General features: G+C 40.1%; 1 protein-coding gene and 1 long non-coding RNA gene across 12 annotated transcripts in view, besides 6 other annotated features; one reads left to right on the top strand and one right to left on the bottom strand.

The window, feature by feature from the left end:
- Positions 1–3,525, bottom strand: part of CIBAR1 (CBY1 interacting BAR domain containing 1) — a 30,978-nt gene extending 27,453 nt beyond the window's left edge. For 10 of the 11 annotated variants that reach the window (NR_156452.2, NR_156451.2, NR_156453.2 and 7 more), the window contains exons 1-3: positions 3,402–3,525; positions 2,617–2,851; positions 387–455 (exon numbers count right to left, since the gene is read on the bottom strand). Coding sequence is in view for 4 of the 11 variants with exons in the window: in NM_145269.5 (NP_660312.2) it covers positions 387–455; positions 2,617–2,851; positions 3,402–3,427 (330 nt within the window). In the remaining 7 variants the exon portion in view is untranslated. Of the gene's footprint in view, positions 1–386; positions 456–2,616; positions 2,852–3,017 lie in introns of those variants that run through there. The other variant, XM_047421352.1, reaches the window with a different exon arrangement.
- Positions 3,177–3,296: a silencer, noted in NCBI's record as "silent region_19359". NCBI's record gives its function as "represses an Ori minimal core promoter by ATAC-STARR-seq in GM12878 lymphoblastoid cells {active_cell/tissue: GM12878}" and the evidence as "EXISTENCE:reporter gene assay evidence [ECO:0000049][PMID:35858748]".
- Positions 3,177–3,897: a biological region, named in NCBI's record as "H3K27ac hESC enhancer GRCh37_chr8:94712406-94713030".
- Positions 3,273–3,897: an enhancer, noted in NCBI's record as "H3K27ac hESC enhancer chr8:94712406-94713030 (GRCh37/hg19 assembly coordinates)". NCBI's record gives its function as "activates a minimal SCP1, AML or CMV promoter by ChIP-STARR-seq in primed H9 embryonic stem cells {active_cell/tissue: H9 hESC(primed)}" and the evidence as "EXISTENCE:reporter gene assay evidence [ECO:0000049][PMID:30033119]".
- Positions 3,487–3,626: a silencer, noted in NCBI's record as "silent region_19358". NCBI's record gives its function as "represses an Ori minimal core promoter by ATAC-STARR-seq in GM12878 lymphoblastoid cells {active_cell/tissue: GM12878}" and the evidence as "EXISTENCE:reporter gene assay evidence [ECO:0000049][PMID:35858748]".
- Positions 3,642–16,634, top strand: part of CIBAR1-DT (CIBAR1 divergent transcript) — a 353,967-nt gene continuing 340,974 nt past the window's right edge. The window contains exon 1 of the long non-coding RNA NR_033858.1: positions 3,642–4,139. This is a non-coding gene — a long non-coding RNA (CIBAR1 divergent transcript). The remainder of the gene's footprint in view (positions 4,140–16,634) is intronic.
- Positions 3,657–3,706: a silencer, noted in NCBI's record as "silent region_19357". NCBI's record gives its function as "represses an Ori minimal core promoter by ATAC-STARR-seq in GM12878 lymphoblastoid cells {active_cell/tissue: GM12878}" and the evidence as "EXISTENCE:reporter gene assay evidence [ECO:0000049][PMID:35858748]".
- Positions 3,927–4,006: an enhancer, noted in NCBI's record as "active region_27618". NCBI's record gives its function as "activates an Ori minimal core promoter by ATAC-STARR-seq in GM12878 lymphoblastoid cells {active_cell/tissue: GM12878}" and the evidence as "EXISTENCE:reporter gene assay evidence [ECO:0000049][PMID:35858748]".

Genomic DNA, 16,634 nt, shown 5'->3' with positions numbered 1-16,634 from the left:
TTTTTTTTTTTGAGACAGAGTCTCACACTGTCGCCTGTGCTGGAGTGCAGTGGCGCTATCTCAGCTCACTGCAACCTCTGCCTCCTGGGTTCAAGCGATTTTCTTGCCTCGGCCTCCTGAGTAGCTGGGATTACAGGTGCATGCCACCATGCCCAGCTAATTTTTTTTATTTTTAGTAGAGACGGGGTTTCACTATGTTGGCCAGGCTGGTCTCAAACTCCTGACCTCGTGATCCGCCCGCCTCGACCTCCCAAAGTGTTGGGATTACAGGCATGAGCCACCACTCTTGGCCACTACTTTGTATTTCTTATTTAAAAAAACAATTGGAAACCTCATAGTCTTTGCCAGAGTAACTCACAGTTAAGTGAGAAAATGGATTTACTTACCCGTTTCATTTTCACAATGGTCCCATAAGTTTTCAAGGGTTCAACTACTTTGGCTTCAAGTCTTTCAACCTATTGAAAATTATTAAAATTTTAAATTAGAACGTTTAACATTTTAACCTATAAATAAAAGGCTAATCACTAGAAATTGATAAGACTCAGAATCTAAACTCAAAACACATTAAAAACTGTTAAGCTGCACAGTAATAGTAAAAGTAGAAAAGCACCTGGTGAGCAAAATGACAAGAAAATGTCTCAGGTTTCCCAGGAGCTCATCCTGGCCACATCATCATCTTAGGATTACTTTTTTACCTTAAAGTAGTAGTTTAAGGGTGTTAAGACAGTTCAAATTTTAATACAGCTAACATTTTCAGTGTGTTCAGCACAGTAATGGATACTTTGCATATATTATCTCTGAACTGTAATAGCTCAACTTTTCAGAAAAGAAAATCAAAGCTGAAAGACAGAGCATCTTGGAAACATTTAAAGCAACATAACCTTGAAAAGCAAAAAAGCTTAGAGATCACTGTATTTGCTGCATTTTTTTTTCTGAGAAGCCATTTGTGAATTATCGAAGCCTACAGAACAAGATAAATGGTCTGAGTTGCTGAGCTGTCAAACTGTATGTTTCATCTCTGTTTCATTTAGAATTAAATAGTTTTTCTTAAACGTTACAGGTTTTTAAATCACATTTTGAGTAATTACTTCTTTTACAAGTAGTACTAGTGGAAGGCACTGAAGAGAGATTTTTTTTAAGGCAAGTATTTAAATATAGCATAAGAAAAATAACTCTTGGACATTAAAATTTTTTTTCTCAAGATAGGTGATGTATTCAATTGCTTAAAATGAACATTTTTTAATAGCAGGAAAAGGGCTTTTTAATGATACATATTTATATAATTGACAAATACACTTAATTTCATATTGATTTTTCTTTAGTTTCTGTAAATGAAATGTATATGAATGTTTCATTTTAAAACATGTTAGGAAAATAAAAATCGACTTCTCATCAAGTATTCAAATATTAGGAATCCTAAAATCATGGATATTCAGGACAGTTTGCTTTACACCATTTCTTATAATCCATACTGATTATTCAGTTTAAGGATTATCTAAGTCTTTTTTCTGTTCTCCTTTTTGTTGCCTACCTTTTTGTCATTGTTCATTAGGACCTCCACCATTTGGTAAGCAAGGGAAATAAAAGGAGAACAAATGCAAATCAATTCACTTTGCTATTTGATAAATAGCACAAAGGTTTTCTACAAAGGGGCATTGAAATTATTGGCTAAAATAAGATTTTAGGATTACCTGTGAATATAAATTATCTTTGAAACATTAAGTCCCCAGTTATCATATATAATTGAGAGTTACTTGTTTATTACAGAAGTTTCATGACAAGAACTCCACATTTTTCCAAAAGTACCTCCAAATATGATTACTCTTCAAATTTGTATGGATAGCAATGATGAGTTCAATTTTTTTTATACTCATTCTGTTTTTTGAAAATTGAAATTCCCGTTTTAGGTTCTGAAAAGTATAAAAAAGCAACGCAGTTCTAACTGGGCAACTTCTGATAAGTTAACCTATGCCGTGAAACTGAAAATAAATACAAGTAAAAGTGCTTATTAAGTATTTAAAGGAAAAATATGGGCTTTTAGAAAGAAAACAATCACAAGGACACTTCTCCTGCTACCCAGAGCAAAAAGTCCACACGGTGTCTCAGTATTGGTTTGCTTCCATGATACAATTCATAGCATTTTGTTGTTGTTAGTAAACCATTGGTCAATTTTCCAAACCATGGATGCAGCAATGATGTCTTACCCATTTATTAATAATTTATCCATCCACATTACCATTCCCAACATTTCCATCTCCAGTCATTCTTTAAAACGTACTTATGTGCCACACAAGACATTAAGTTATGCTTATTTTCTTCCCCCTGGGTACTATTCCCACTACCCCCAGTAAACAGCCACCCCTTGGCCAAAAGTTGGCAAATAAAGTGGGGAAATTCAAGACCTCAAGATGCCCTAAAGGTTAGCTTGAAAAGGGTAAAATAAAACACAGAACGCTTCTCTTTAATAGACTCACACAGTCTTATGAAAATGTACGTTTTATCAAGTTTGCATCCACCTCTGCAGTTAGGTAGATTACAAGTGAAAGTTTCCACGGTTCCTTCATCCACTACTTCATGGCTCATTCATAACAATGACACTGTGATCTCACTCCATACCTCTGCTTGTCGATAATCCTGAAGTTTGGCAAACTCATCTGCAAAGTTCATCAGGCCCAGCTTTAAATGCGGGGTCTCTGTAGCAGCATACGCGTTAATTTCATTCACCAGGAGGTCTGCTTTGTCTCTCAGCCTGGCAGTTTTCCGCACATAGGCAGCGAAGATTTGGCACAGTTCTCCAAAATGCTTCTCCACATTTGAGACAGCTGTTTGCAGTTGTTTCGTTTGAGCGTTCCTAGGGAAAAGGTGACACAAAAGGCAAAACATTCTCGTTAGAGATGAGAAGGCTTCACGTTAATTTAACATGCAAACATTCCCCGGGCATTCTGCAGCTTTGAAGGCGTAAACCCATCAACGACCCAGCGTCTCCCGGCGCGGACTGCTCTCCATGGGGTCCTGACCTCACTATCCGGACTGTGTAGGCACAGGAAAAGGCCCAGGCCGGGTGGGCCTGGCCTTAACTGGGGAGGTGGCTGCTCCGGCTGCTCCGCGCAGCGCGGCCTGGGCGCCCGGCTGCCTCCTAGGCTTCCGCACTGCCCGCGGCAGTGTGGGGACCCGAGACCCGGTGGCGTGGGTGGGTGGCAGCCGGCCGGGCCCCGGGCTCCTCTTCGCCGCCGGCGGTGGCTGCAGCCCAAGGAATTAGGCCCCAGGTCACAGCGGGGACCGTGCAGCCTCCCACTCAGGGTCGGAATTCGGCGCAGAGGCCCCATGGACAGAGGCTTCCACTTCCCTCACCCCAGCCCTCCAGTGTGGGCGGCCCTGGGCAGCTGGGCTCGGGCTGTTACCGGTTTTCCAGGGTGCGCCTCATCATGCTGCCTCGCGCACGGCCGGGGACCTTGCGGGGGCCCAAGGACGGGGATTCCAAGGCGCCTGGGCGCGCGCTGGGGCGCAAGCAGCCGCCGGGAGCCTGAAAGCCCGCCCCTCGCGCCGCCGCGGCAGGCCGGGCGTTTCTATGGAAACGGGGCGCGCGCCCCCGCGGTCAATGCCCGAGGCAGCCTGAGCGCGGCTGGGGCTCGGAAAGCGCCAAGCAGGCAGGGACCGAGAGGGGTGATGGCGCGCCCACCCCTGCAGAGCCGCCTGCGCGGTTGTCCCGCGCGTCCCTGCCGGCGAAGGCTGTGAGAAGCACCGCGGGGCTACGGCGCCTCCATCCTCTCTAACAGCCGCGCTTACCAGACAGCCAGCCTCCAGCGCTGCTAGGCTACTCCGAGCAGGGGAGAAAAGACGCCGGTCCGCCGGGGACCAGGAGGGAGACGTGAAACCAGAGGCCCGGGGGCCCCCTCTCCGCCTGTGCGACTTGTAGTCTCGTACCAGACGCGTCCGCTTCACTGCTGAATCTGAAAACGTGGGCTCTTGAGAGCTGCCCTTGGAAGGAGCTGTGCTTTCTGCCTCATCTTTAACTTTTCGTTTATTCAGCAAATATGTATCAAGTTCCGACTTCGTGGAAGAGATTGTGTTAGACACTGGGAGTAATAGAAACATAATTAAGAAGCAGGGGTCCCGGACCTGAAGGGCCTGAGCGTCGGGTAAGGAGGCAACGCTTACACCGAACCTGTGCTGAGATAAATAACGAACAGTTCTGGCTCTTAGAGTTGGCCTGGGGGAACAAAAATTCAAAAAGAATAAAACCCCAAACAAACAGGAGGCTCTCCTTTGTCCTTTGAACGCCTCTGTCCCTTTGACCCTCCTGGCCTTGCGTGTGCTGCTTTTCCCAGTAAATACTGCAAGGACTCTATTCAGACTTTGTTTATTTATATATGTATTTTAGATGGAGTCTCGCTCTGTTGCCCAGGCTGGAGTGTAGTGGCACAATCTCGGCTCACTGCAACCTCCGCCTCCTGGGTTCAAGCGATTCTCCTGCCTCAGGCTCTCAAATAGCTGGGATTACAGGCGTGCACCACTATGCTGGCCTGATTTTTTGTATTTTTAGTAGAGACGGGGTTTCGCCATGTTGGCCAGGCTGGTCTTGAACTCTTGGCCTCAAGTGATCCGCCCCCCTTCAGCCTCCCAAAGTGCTGGGATTCCAGGCGTGAGCCACCGGGCCCGGCCTCAATTCAGACTTTATCTGCTTCAAGAAACCTCTCTGGGATCCTCCGTCACTTCACTTTTTCAGGCAGCGTTAGGGCCTTGTCCTAACGCTTTGGGACGGGGTCCTAATACTGTCTGAAGGAGCGAAGTGTTGGAATGCTCAAACAGTACACTTCGTTGATTTTGTACTGCCTCCTGTACCCTAGACTTTGAACCCTTTGAGACAGATTAAATGTGATTTTGGTCTTGTATTCCTCGCTGCCGTGTGCTGCTGATTAAAAGTTTTTATTTTGTACAAATAGATGTCCTCAGTCCTTTGTTTTGAACTTCCCCTATTCGCTTGTGTTACAATGTGTATCTCTCTTTGCTCCTTGCATTCGCTCAGCATGTTATTGGTTGGATGCCTGGTGTGTTCCAGGTATTATGCTTGGCTTTGAGGTTGGCACAGTAACCTAAGGTCAGAATAGTCTGTGCTTTTAGAGAGCTCACAGTTATGTGGCAGTGATAGAAGCTAATCAAAGATGTGTAAAATTGCCACTGAGGTATGTGCTACTGTATCCACTTTTGCAGTGTAACAAATCACCACAAAACTTAGTGACGTTTTACAATCGTTTGGTTAGCTTGGGATTCTGAGTGAGCTGGGTGGTTCTTTTACCTTGGTTCTGCTCAGCTGGGCTCTTACTCACCTTTCTGGTCAGCTGGCGGCTGGATGATCTAAGAGGCCTCACTTCTGTGTCACGGCATTGGCAGGTCGTCAGCAGGGGCCACGTGTTTCTTATTGTCTAGCACCTCAGCCAGGCTTCTTTCCATGGTTTCAGAGTTCCAAAACAGTGGAGCAGGACAAGTCAACTGCACAAGTGCCTTTCAAGTCTCTGCCTATGTTATGTTTGCTGATACACTATTGGCGGATGCAAGCCATGTGGCCTAGACTAGAGGGATCAGAGTGAGAGGGCAGTGGAAATGTTACGGATGGTGTGGTTGGTAGAGGAATTGGTGGCTACTTTTCCAGTCTACTATTAGGGGAAACTACATGGCAGCAATTGAGTGTATACTTAATATAGAGGTTTGGTTTGAACTCATCAGGGAAGGACTTCATTGAGAAAGTGACATTTGAGCTGAGATCCAAAGAATAGGAAGGAGTCAACTAGGTGAAGAGGGAGTGAAAAACAGTCCCAAGAGAAGGACAGTATGAGCAGTTTGTCCCCTTGCCCTCCCCCAGCCCCATTCCCATCTCTACCCAGAATTTCATATCTCAGAAAATGATGCTATTGCCCAGTTGATTGTTCAAGTCAAAAACTTAGGAGTTACCCTTTCTTTTCTCCAGTCACATGGGCAATTCCTATCTGTTCCATCTCCAAAATATATCCTGAATCATTCTTCATTTTTTTCTACATCCCCATAATCCAAACTGCTACCACCAATCATCCTTACTGCAAACCTCCCTTACTAGTCTCCCCATGTCCACTGTTAAACATCGCAGTGTGAAATCAAACATTAAATCAGATGATGTCAACCCTCCAAAGCCTCTCAGTGTGCTTCAAATAAAAATTTAAATCCTATTCTGGCTATTAAGGCTTTATCTCATTTCCGCTTACCTATCTACCTTCTCTTGCTGCCCCACTGTGCTATAGACACATGCCATATGTGTGTGTGTGTGTGTGTGTGTGTGTATATATATATACACACACACACACACACATATATATGTATATAAGCTTCTCTCTCTCTCTCTGTGTTTATCTATAGATAAACTTATCTCACAGTTAGTTCTGTGTTTGTAATTCTCTCTGCCTGGAATGCTCCTTCTTCAAGTCCTCACATGGATGGCCCCTTCATATAAAATTGTACTTAAAAAACACCTATGAGTGGGGCTTTCTCTGATCACCAAATGATTCTTTCACCCTGTTTTGTTTCCTTTGAAGCACATGTCACGTCCTGAAATTAACCTGTTTATTTACATGCTATTTCTGTCTTCTCCCATCCACGTACTAACCGGGCTGGACCTCACTTAGCTTCCAAGATCAGGCATGTTCAGGTATGGCTGTAGATCTATTTCTGTCTTCTGTGACTAGAACATATTCTCCATGAAACTAGCCACATTGTTACCTGTTCACTTTATATTCCCAGTACAACCTCAGTGCTTGACTCATAGTAGAAATTCAATAATTAGTTGAGTTTATCAATGAATAAATAAATAAATGAGTGAAAACCCCATGACAGAGGAAACACAGTATGTGTGAGGACATGGAAGAAAGCTGATGAGGGTGGAGTGGAGGAGGTGGCATCATGTTCTGTCTGAGATTTAGTTGGAGGGGTAGATGGAAACCAGGTCGTATAGGGCATTTTGGCCATGCTAAGGAGTGTAGAGATTGGTTCTTGTATTAGTCAAGGTTCTTTAGAGAAACAGAACTAATAGTCTGTGTTTGTAAATATAATATAATATAATATAATATAATATAATATAATATAATATATAATATATTGTATAATTTTATTATAAGGAATTGGCTGAAGTAATTATGTAGGCCGAGAAGTCCCAGAATCTGCAGTTCACAAGCTGGAGACCCAGGAGAGCCAATATGTCATTTCAGTTCAAGTCCAAAGGCTGGAGAACCAGAAGAGCTGATGGTTTATTTCCTGTCTGAAAGCAAACAGGGTGGAGACCCAAGGAAAACAGATGACTGAGTCCTACTGGGAAGGCTAGAAAAGATGACGTCCCAAGTCAATCAGTCTGGTGGGAGCAGTTTCCTCCTACTGAGACTTTTTTCCTATTCAGGCCTTCGATTGACTGGATGAGGCCTGCCCACATTAGGGAGGGCACTCTCCTTTATGCAAATTTTAGTCTCATCCGTAAACACCCTCACAGACATGCGGAATTATGTTTGGTGGAATGCCTAATGACACATAAAATTAACCATTACAATCATTGTCTTTGTATCAATGTGAAGCTATTGATGTGTTAAAGCAAGTTATTTATTGTGTAGCTCTTTTTTTTTTTTTTTTTTGAGGTGGAGTTTCGCTCTTGTTGCCCAGGCTAGAGTGCAATGACGTGATCTCAGCTCACTGCAACCTCCGCCTCCCGGGTGTATAGACCGGGTTTCTCCATGTTGGTCAGGCTGATCAGAAACTCCCGACCTCAGGTGATCTGCCCGCCTCAGCCTCCCAAAGTGCTGGGATCTATTGTGTAACTCTTAAAGCTGTTAGCAAATGCTTGGTAAATGGTATCATAATTGTTGAACAGAAGCATATTGAATTATCCCTCTTCAATCTGTACTCAATATATGGAAATGAAAGTGCTCAAGGAAATTTCCTCCTAAGATACGGGCTCTTGATTTTACTCTTCTGTCAACAGATATCTAAAAAACATGCATTAACACAATTGTTCTCAAATCTTTTTACTACTTGGAGGCATGTTCTTTCTTATAGGCTATACTTTTTCCAAGGACACATTATCTCATCAAAGAGGAGCTGGTGGCCTGGGAGGACAAGTGCCTTGGCCAGAATTGCATGATTAGATAGCAGAGGTGGAACTGAATCTTTGTCTTCTTTCTTCAATGTTCTTTCCAGAGTACCAGGATCTCTTTCTCTCTTAAAAGTGATTTTTTTTTTTTTTTTTTTTTCAAATCAAAGCCACAATGCAATACCACCTTATTCCTGCAAGAATGGCCATAATCAAAAAATCAAAAAATAATAGATGTTGGCATGGATGTGGTGAAAAGGGAACACTTTTACATTCTTGGTGGAAATGTAAATTAGTACAACCACTATGGAAAACAGTGTGGAGATTCCTTAAAGAACTAGAGGTAGCTCTACCACTTGATCCAGCAATCCCACTCCTGGGTATCTACCCAGAGGAAAAGAAGTCATTATACAAAAAAGATATTTGTACATGCATGTTTATAGCAGCACAATTCACAATTGCAAAAATATGGAACCAGCCCAAATGTACATCAATCAATGAGTGGATAAAGAAAATGTGTATATATACCATGGAATATGAGTGGATTATACTCAGCCATAGAAAGGAACATAATAATGGCATTTGTAGCAACCTGGATGGAATTGGAGACCATTATTCTAAGTGAAGTAACTCAGCAATAGAAATCCAAACATCAGATGTTCTCACAAGTAGGAGCTAAGCTATGAGGTCACAAAGGCATAATAATGATACAATGGACTTTGGGGACTCGGGGGTAAATTGGGAGGGGGAGACGAAGAATAAAAGACTACACATTGGGCACAGTGTACACTGCTCAGGTGATGGGTGCACCAAAATCTTAGAAATCACCACTAAAGAACTTATGTAACCAAACACCACCTGCTCTCCAAACACCTATTGAAATAGAAAATTAAATAAAATACAAAAAAGTGATTTTTTGCAAAGATTGTAAACAAGTTGAAACATTTTAATGTCATTCCATATTTGGAAGAAGGAGGGTGTGTGTCATAGGATCCATCTATCGCTGAGTATAGCATTTCAAAATCTCGAAATTATTGTTTCAGGTTATAAGCATTATAGGGTCTCACTTTTCTGAACTACTATGTGATATTTGTATATTTATTGTGAAAACAGCACAATATTATTTCGTGTAACGTTGAATGAACTCCAATTTATTTAGCATGTTTTAAGGGGGGCCTAGTGGAGGCGGAGAGTTGCATTAGCTTTATTTAAGTATTCAGCATTACTTGCGGAGAACTTGCCACGTACTAGGTGCTGAATTTAACATTCCTGAACTCAAGTGCTCAGAGCAATGCGGAAAGAGACACTGTAGAGGCAACTGGCTAATTTTGTTGAAGTCTTTTCCAGTCTCATTTCATCAGGAATTTAGAGATGATAATGTAGTTTAAACTAGATTATTTTAATTTAAAGTATATTATTATTTTGCTAATTGGAGTTTCCTCCTTCCCTTCTTCAGTTCTGTTTTAGAAATGAAGATGTTAAGTGACCAATCATGGTATATTGTATTTATTTGTTAAAAGTAGATTTGTGCCTAACAATATCACTCCAAATGCAGCTGTTCCATGTTAAGTAGCTTAAACAAATTGTTTTCATGATGATACATACAAATCAAACTTTTTTTTTTTCCAGCAAAGGATTGAGTGTGTGTTTATTTACATGCTTTTAAAAGGTTCAGCATTTGAGGAATGTCGGGACTCCCTCTAGCGGTAAATTTAATACTTAAAGTTGCTTGGTCAAGCACTGGAAGACAAAGGGAATAGAATGAAACTGCCCTGGACTGCTATCTCTTTTATGACCAGTTTTTAACTAGAAATCACCTATTACTGGTCTTCTTCTTAGTATAATAGGGAGAGAGTACAATTAAGTAATTAAGTACATGGGCTTTGATGGGCTCTGATGTCTAATATCTGGATTTAAAGTCTGGCTCCACTGCTCTCTCAAGCATTAGCAAGAATTACTTGCAGGACATGTTGAAACACAGTTTTCTAGGCCCCAGCCCCGGAGTTTCTCATTTAGGAGGTCTGAGGTGAGGATCAAGAATATGCCTTTATAACAAATTCTCAGGTGTTACTGAACCTGCTGGTCTCTACCACACTTTGGGAACCAGTGGCCTAGACTCCTGGAGTGCCTCACATTCCTCAGGGGTTAGCTCTGAGGTTGTGAAGATTAAGCAGAGTACTAGATGTTAAGTGCTTAGTATGGTACCTGAAATAGTAAGTGGTCCACAAAGGTTAGTGCCTACTAATACCATAGATTTGTCAGTGTTTCTCTAACTTGGAGAATTCAAAAAGGGAGAACTTTGTAATAATATTGTTGAGCTAATATTGTTAGCTAAGTAAATAAACACACACTCAATATTTTGCTGGAAAAAAAGTTTGATTTGTATGTATCAGCGTCTTATCATTAAGGTCTATGTGCCTAATACTACATAAGCACCGTTAATATACCTATTAGCATCAGTCTAATTATTAATACATTCATCTTTTTGTGAATTGATTTGAAAAATTGATACAACACAAAAGAAAAAACACACATGGGAGGGTATGTTAAGGAGACATAGGAGTCAATTAAAAGAGCTCTGGATGGCCAAAGCTCCAACAATTTGAGCAAGAAAATAAAGTAGTAATGGATTATAACCCAAAGTAAAAAATTAAATATTCTTGAGTCCATGCTGAGAGTAAATTAATGAATGAATGGAGAAGAAGAGACAAATCTCCCACAGAATAATTCCAAATAATTTATGTAGCTACTCCATCCTCAAGGAGGTGGAGTAAAAGTCCTGTCTCCTTAAGTGTGGGCTGCACGTAGTGACCTCTTTCCAAAGAGGACAGTATGGAAGGAAGAAAAAAAAGTAATTTTCCCATGGAGAAACATGACAAACACTACCTCAGCCAGGTGATCAAGGTCAGTATCAACAGCTATGGGTTATGTTCCTAGTATGTACCCTTTTTATGACATGATGAAAATGGTATCTTACACCTGTGGTTTTCCACCTCCGAATCCATGACCCCAGTGTAATTTTGAGAAAATGACAGATAAATTCCAATAGGGGGAGATTTTACAAAATACTTGACTAGTACACCTCAAAACTGTCAAGGTCATCAAAAACAAGGATAATTTGAGAGACCATTATAGTTAAGAGGAACCTAAGGAGACATAAACTTCTACTAAGTGTAATGTGGCAACCCAGAACAGAAAATGGGCATCACGTAAAACTAAAGAAATCTGAATAAAATATGGGGAAAAATAAAGCAAAGCCTTTTTTCTTATAATTAATTAATTATTTTCGAGACAGGGTCTCATTCCATCACCCAGGCTGGAGTGTAGTGGCACGGTCATGGCTCATTGCAGCCTCGACCTCCTGGCCCCAAGTGATCCTCCCACCTCAACCCTCCAAGTACCTAGGACCACAGGCAAGTGCCACCACGCCTGGCTAATTTTTTTTTTAATTTTTTAATTTTTTTGAGACAGAGTCTTACTCTGTTGCCCAGGTCAGAGTGCAGCGGCACAATCTCAGCTCACTGTGACCTCTGCCTCCTGGGTTCAAGCGATTCTTGTGCCTCAGCTTCCTGAGTAGCTGAGACTACAGGTGCACCCCACCATGCCTGGCTAATTTTTGTATTTTTAGTAGAGACAGGATTTCACCATGTTGGCCAGGCTGGTCTCGAACTCTTGACCTCAGGTGATCTGCCCACCTCGGCCTCCCAAAGCGCTGGGATTACAGATGTGAGCCACCATGTCTGGCAATTTAAAAAAATTTTCATAGAGCTGATATCTCCCTATGTTGCCCAGGCTGATCTCAAACTCCGCAGCTCAAGTGATCCTCCTGTGTCGGCCTCCCAGATTGTTGGGATTATAGGTGTGAGCTACAGCACCTAGCCTTTTTGTCTTTTAGAAAAAATATTGATACATGATCATTATTAGAAATTTCATTAATACTGAGAAGCATAATATAGGAAAAAACACCAGTGTTTTCATTATAAAATGTTAATATTAGGTGAACATTTTTCTAGATCTATCTATTTATCCGGAAGGTAAAGGTAGAACTTATATATGCGTAAGTTATATATATGTTATATATGTGTATTTATAATGAGAAGAACATATAAATACATAAAAGACAAAAAGCTTTGCTTTTTTATTTCTCCATATTTTATTCAAATTTGCATATATATGGAAATCTGAATACAATTCAGATAAAATTCTGATAAGATATATCCTCCCATGAAGATCACTTGAGCCCAGGAGTTTGAGACCAACCTAGGCAGCATAGGGAAATCTCAGCTCTACAAAAATAAAAAAACTTAGCCAGGTGTGGTGGCACTTGCGTGTTTTCCTAGCTACTTGGAGGGCTGAGGTGGGAGGATCACTTGGGCCCAGGAGGTCAAGGCTGCAATGAGCCATGATTGTGCAGTAAGATATATATAAGTTACATATACATATGTATACATATATAACACATATAGATATGTTATATATATGTTACACACGTCTCTTCCTGTCTACATATATATAACATATCTATATAACTTATATCTATATAAGTTATATAGTTATATATGTATATATAAGTTATATAGTTACAGTTATATATAGGTTATACAGGTTATATAGTTACATGTAGAGTAGACAGGAAGATCTTATAAAAATAGGATTATAAAAATATAATTTTTGTGTTTGATTTCTAAGTTTACTTTGGGGTTTTAAAATGTTTTCACAATATGAAATACATCCAACATACAGAAAATAACAGACACCTATACATTCACTGGGAAGATTTTACTAAATTTATTTCAGAATTTTAGTAATCAAAAGTTCTCATGATAAAAAGTACTCTTCAGACCAGTGGATTTTTTCTCATGATGATCACTATCTTCAAGATGGTGTGTATTCTTTCCATGTCTACTTTTATACTTTCCTTTATATGTATGTATGTATTCATGATATATACATATATGTTTGTTTTTAAACTTTATATAATTGGTATAATATTTAATATACCTTTTTGAAATTTACTTTCTTAACACAACATTAGATCTTAGAGATTGATCCATGTTGTTACATTTAGTATTGTATAGATTTCTATCCTATGAATAATTCACAATGGTTGCTTTCTTCTGATGGATATCAGTTGTTTCCAATTTTTTCTATTGCCAAATATGCTGCAATGCATATGAAATTGATTTTCTCTACAGGATCTACATAGAAATGGCTTGTCTGTTGTTTGCAATAAGTTTTGCAGAACAGGAGTTTTCTTTTCTTTTTCTTTTTTTTTTGAGACGCAGTTTCACTCTTTTTGCCCAGGCTGGAGTGCAATGGTACCATCTCAGCTCACTGCAACTTCTGCCTCCCAGTTTCAAGTGATTCTCCTGCCTCAGCCTCCCGAGTAGCTGGGATTACAGGTGCACGCCACCACACCCGGCTAATTTTTTTTTTTTCAGTAGCGAAGGGTTTCGCCATGTTGGCCAGGCTGGTCTCGAACTCCTGACCTCAGGTGATCCACCTGCCTCGGCCTCCCAAAGTGCTGGGATTACAGGTGTAAGCCACCGCACCCGGCCTAGGAGTTTTCAATTTTGGATTTTCAATCTAGCTGGAAATTTATTTTTGTATATCCTGTGAGGTAAGCATCTAACTTTATCTTTTTCCATATGGGTAGCCATTTGTGCCAAATTTGTTTATTGAATTTATTCCCATACCAACTGATTTTTATTACTACTATTGTGATATACCAAATATCTAGACTTAGGTTGGCCTTTTTCTAAGCATTCTCTTTTACTGGCCTATTTGTCTATTGCTGTGCCAATAACGACCCATTTTAATTAGGGATATTCTGAATAGATCAAGTTACTCAAAACCATGAGAAACTTGTTTATAGATTTGTAAGATAAATCACGTTAGCTTTAACTTGAATAAATCTTTTAATGGATGCAAACATAATTTATTTTCCTAGTCTACTTTTTTGTATAGCTTTATTGCGACATAATTTACCTACTATATATTTCATATTTAAAATGTACAATTTAACCGTTTTTTGTATATTCACAGAGTTGTGCAACCATCACCACAATCAATTTTAGAACGTTTTCAACACCCCAAAAAGAAACTGCGCACATTAACACTCACTTCCTATTTCCCTCCAGACCTCCCAGTTCTAGGAAATCAGTAATCTCCTTTCTGTCTTTGTAGATTTGCCTCTTCTGCATGTCATACAAATGGAATCATAAAATATGTGGTCACTTGTGATTGACATCTTTTACTGAGCATAATGTTTTCAAGGTTCATTCATGTTGTAATGTGTTTTAATACTTCATTCTTATCACTGACTAATATTCTATTGTATGAATATTCCGGATTTGATTTATCCATTCATCAGTTGATAGATATTTGGCTTGTTTATATTTTTTAGCTATTACGAATAATGCTGCTATGAGTATTTGTGTATCACAAATTTTTGTGTGGACATATGTTTGCATTTCTCTCGGATATACACTTAAGAGTGAAATTACTTTGGTTGGTTATTTACTTTTGGGGAGAAAAAAATAAAAAAGTAAAATTGCTGTATCATATGGTAATACTATGTGTAATCTTTTGAGGAACTTCTAGACTGTGAAGTGGTGCAGCCATTTCACTTTTCTTTTTCTTTTTTTTTGAGAAGGAGTCTCCCTCTGTCTCCCAGGCTGGAGTGCAGTGGCATGACCTCGGCTCACTGCAACCTCTGCCTCCCAGATTCAAACGATTCTCCTGCCTCAGCCTCCTAAGTAGTTGGGATTATAGGCGCCCACCACCATACCTGGCTAATTTTGTATTTTTATTAGAGACGGGGTTTCGCCATGTTGGTCAGTCTGTTCTCGAACTCCTGATCTCAGGTTGTCCGCCCGCCTCGGCCTCCCAAAGTGCTGGTATTACAGGCATGAGCCACTGCGCCCGGCTGCCACTTCACTTTTCAAAATGGCTGCACCATTTTACATTATAGTGCTCTAATAGCAGCAATATATCAGAGTTCCAATTTCCTTTATTCCTGTTACTTTTATCTATGTTTTTATGTAGAAACAATATAGTTATGTATTGTTTTATATAGAAAATATAGTTATGTATTATTTCTGTATCCAGTTTGATAATCTTTGCCTTTAATTGGTGTGTTTAGGCCATTTACCTTTTTGTTTGTTTGTTTGTTTTTTGAGACAAGGTCTCGTTATGTTGCTCAGGCTGGTCTCAAAACTCCTGATCCTCCTGCCTCAGCCTCCCAAAGTGTTGGCATTACAAGCATTAGCCACCACACCTAGCCTAGACCATATATGTATATCTATCTATCTATATATATATATATATTTTTTTTTTTTTTTGAGACAGAGTCTCGCTCTGTCGCCCAGGCTGGAGTGCTGTGGCGTGATCTCAGTTCACTGCAACCTGCACCTCCTGGGTTTAAGCAATTCTCCTGCCTCAGCCTCCTGAGTAGCTGGGATTACAGGAGCCTGCCACCACTCCCAGCTCATTTTTGTATTTTTAGTAGAGACGGGGTTTCACCATGTTGGTCAGGCTGGTCTTGAACCCATGACCTTGTGATCCACCCACCTTGGCCTCCCAAAGTGCTGGGATTACAGGCATGAACCACTGCGCCCGGCCGACCATTTATATTTAATGTGATAATGGATCTAGTAATATTAAAATCGACCATCTTTCTAGTTGTTTTTAAAAATATATTTCATGTATCCTTTGTTGAAAGACCTAGGTCTTACTGCCTCTTGATGTTTTTGTTAATGTCCTGAGTCAGGCTTACTCCATGTAATTGGAGTTTGTTCTATGCCTATGATGGGAGATACCTTCTGGCTCCACTGCAGCATGTGGCCATGGGAAATGATTACCACAAGGGATTGCTCTATCATAGTCGTGGTCAACTCTGAGCGCACATTCATGTTTTAAAAGCACCTGAAGGGCTTTTAAAAATAGCAATGCCTGTATCCTACCAATAAAAATTATAGTTTATCTGGATTGTATCCTGGCAATTGATAATTTTAAAAGCTTCCCAGATGATTCTAGTGTGCAACTAGACTGTAGCCTCTGGGCAGATGATGAGTGAGAAGCAGAAAATTCTACTTTCATGGATTTTCCTTGATGTTTTTCTGAGCTGCCGACTTACTACCTTTTCTCACGTCTCTCAAAGTTTGGGGGAATTCCCGGGATTTAGTTGAACTTAACATTTTTCTTCATAACCATTCCTTGGAAGAAGGTATGGGGATTATGATCCTGTCTTGGCTGAAACTTTTCAGTCTATAACATAATTTAGTATCTCTTACTGTGTTTGATTTTTTATTGTATTTTTTGTTTTTTTTTTTACAAACTTTATTTATTTGTTTATTTTGTTAGATATTGGAGGGAAAGGATTCTGTGATCTAACTTTATTCTATCATCTTTACCTGAAATTCTTTAAATTTCTTATTGTATTATACTCCTTTCTCTAATCCTCACAATAACCTTACGAAGTTGCTGCTACAACTATTATTATTATTATTGATTTATTTATTATTATTTTTGA

This window comes from Homo sapiens, chromosome 8 (assembly GCF_000001405.40).
Source record: "Homo sapiens chromosome 8, GRCh38.p14 Primary Assembly".
Taxonomy (NCBI): Eukaryota; Metazoa; Chordata; class Mammalia; order Primates; family Hominidae; genus Homo; species Homo sapiens.
Note: the sequence above shows the minus strand (reverse complement) of the source record. Positions and strands in the feature narration are given on the sequence as shown.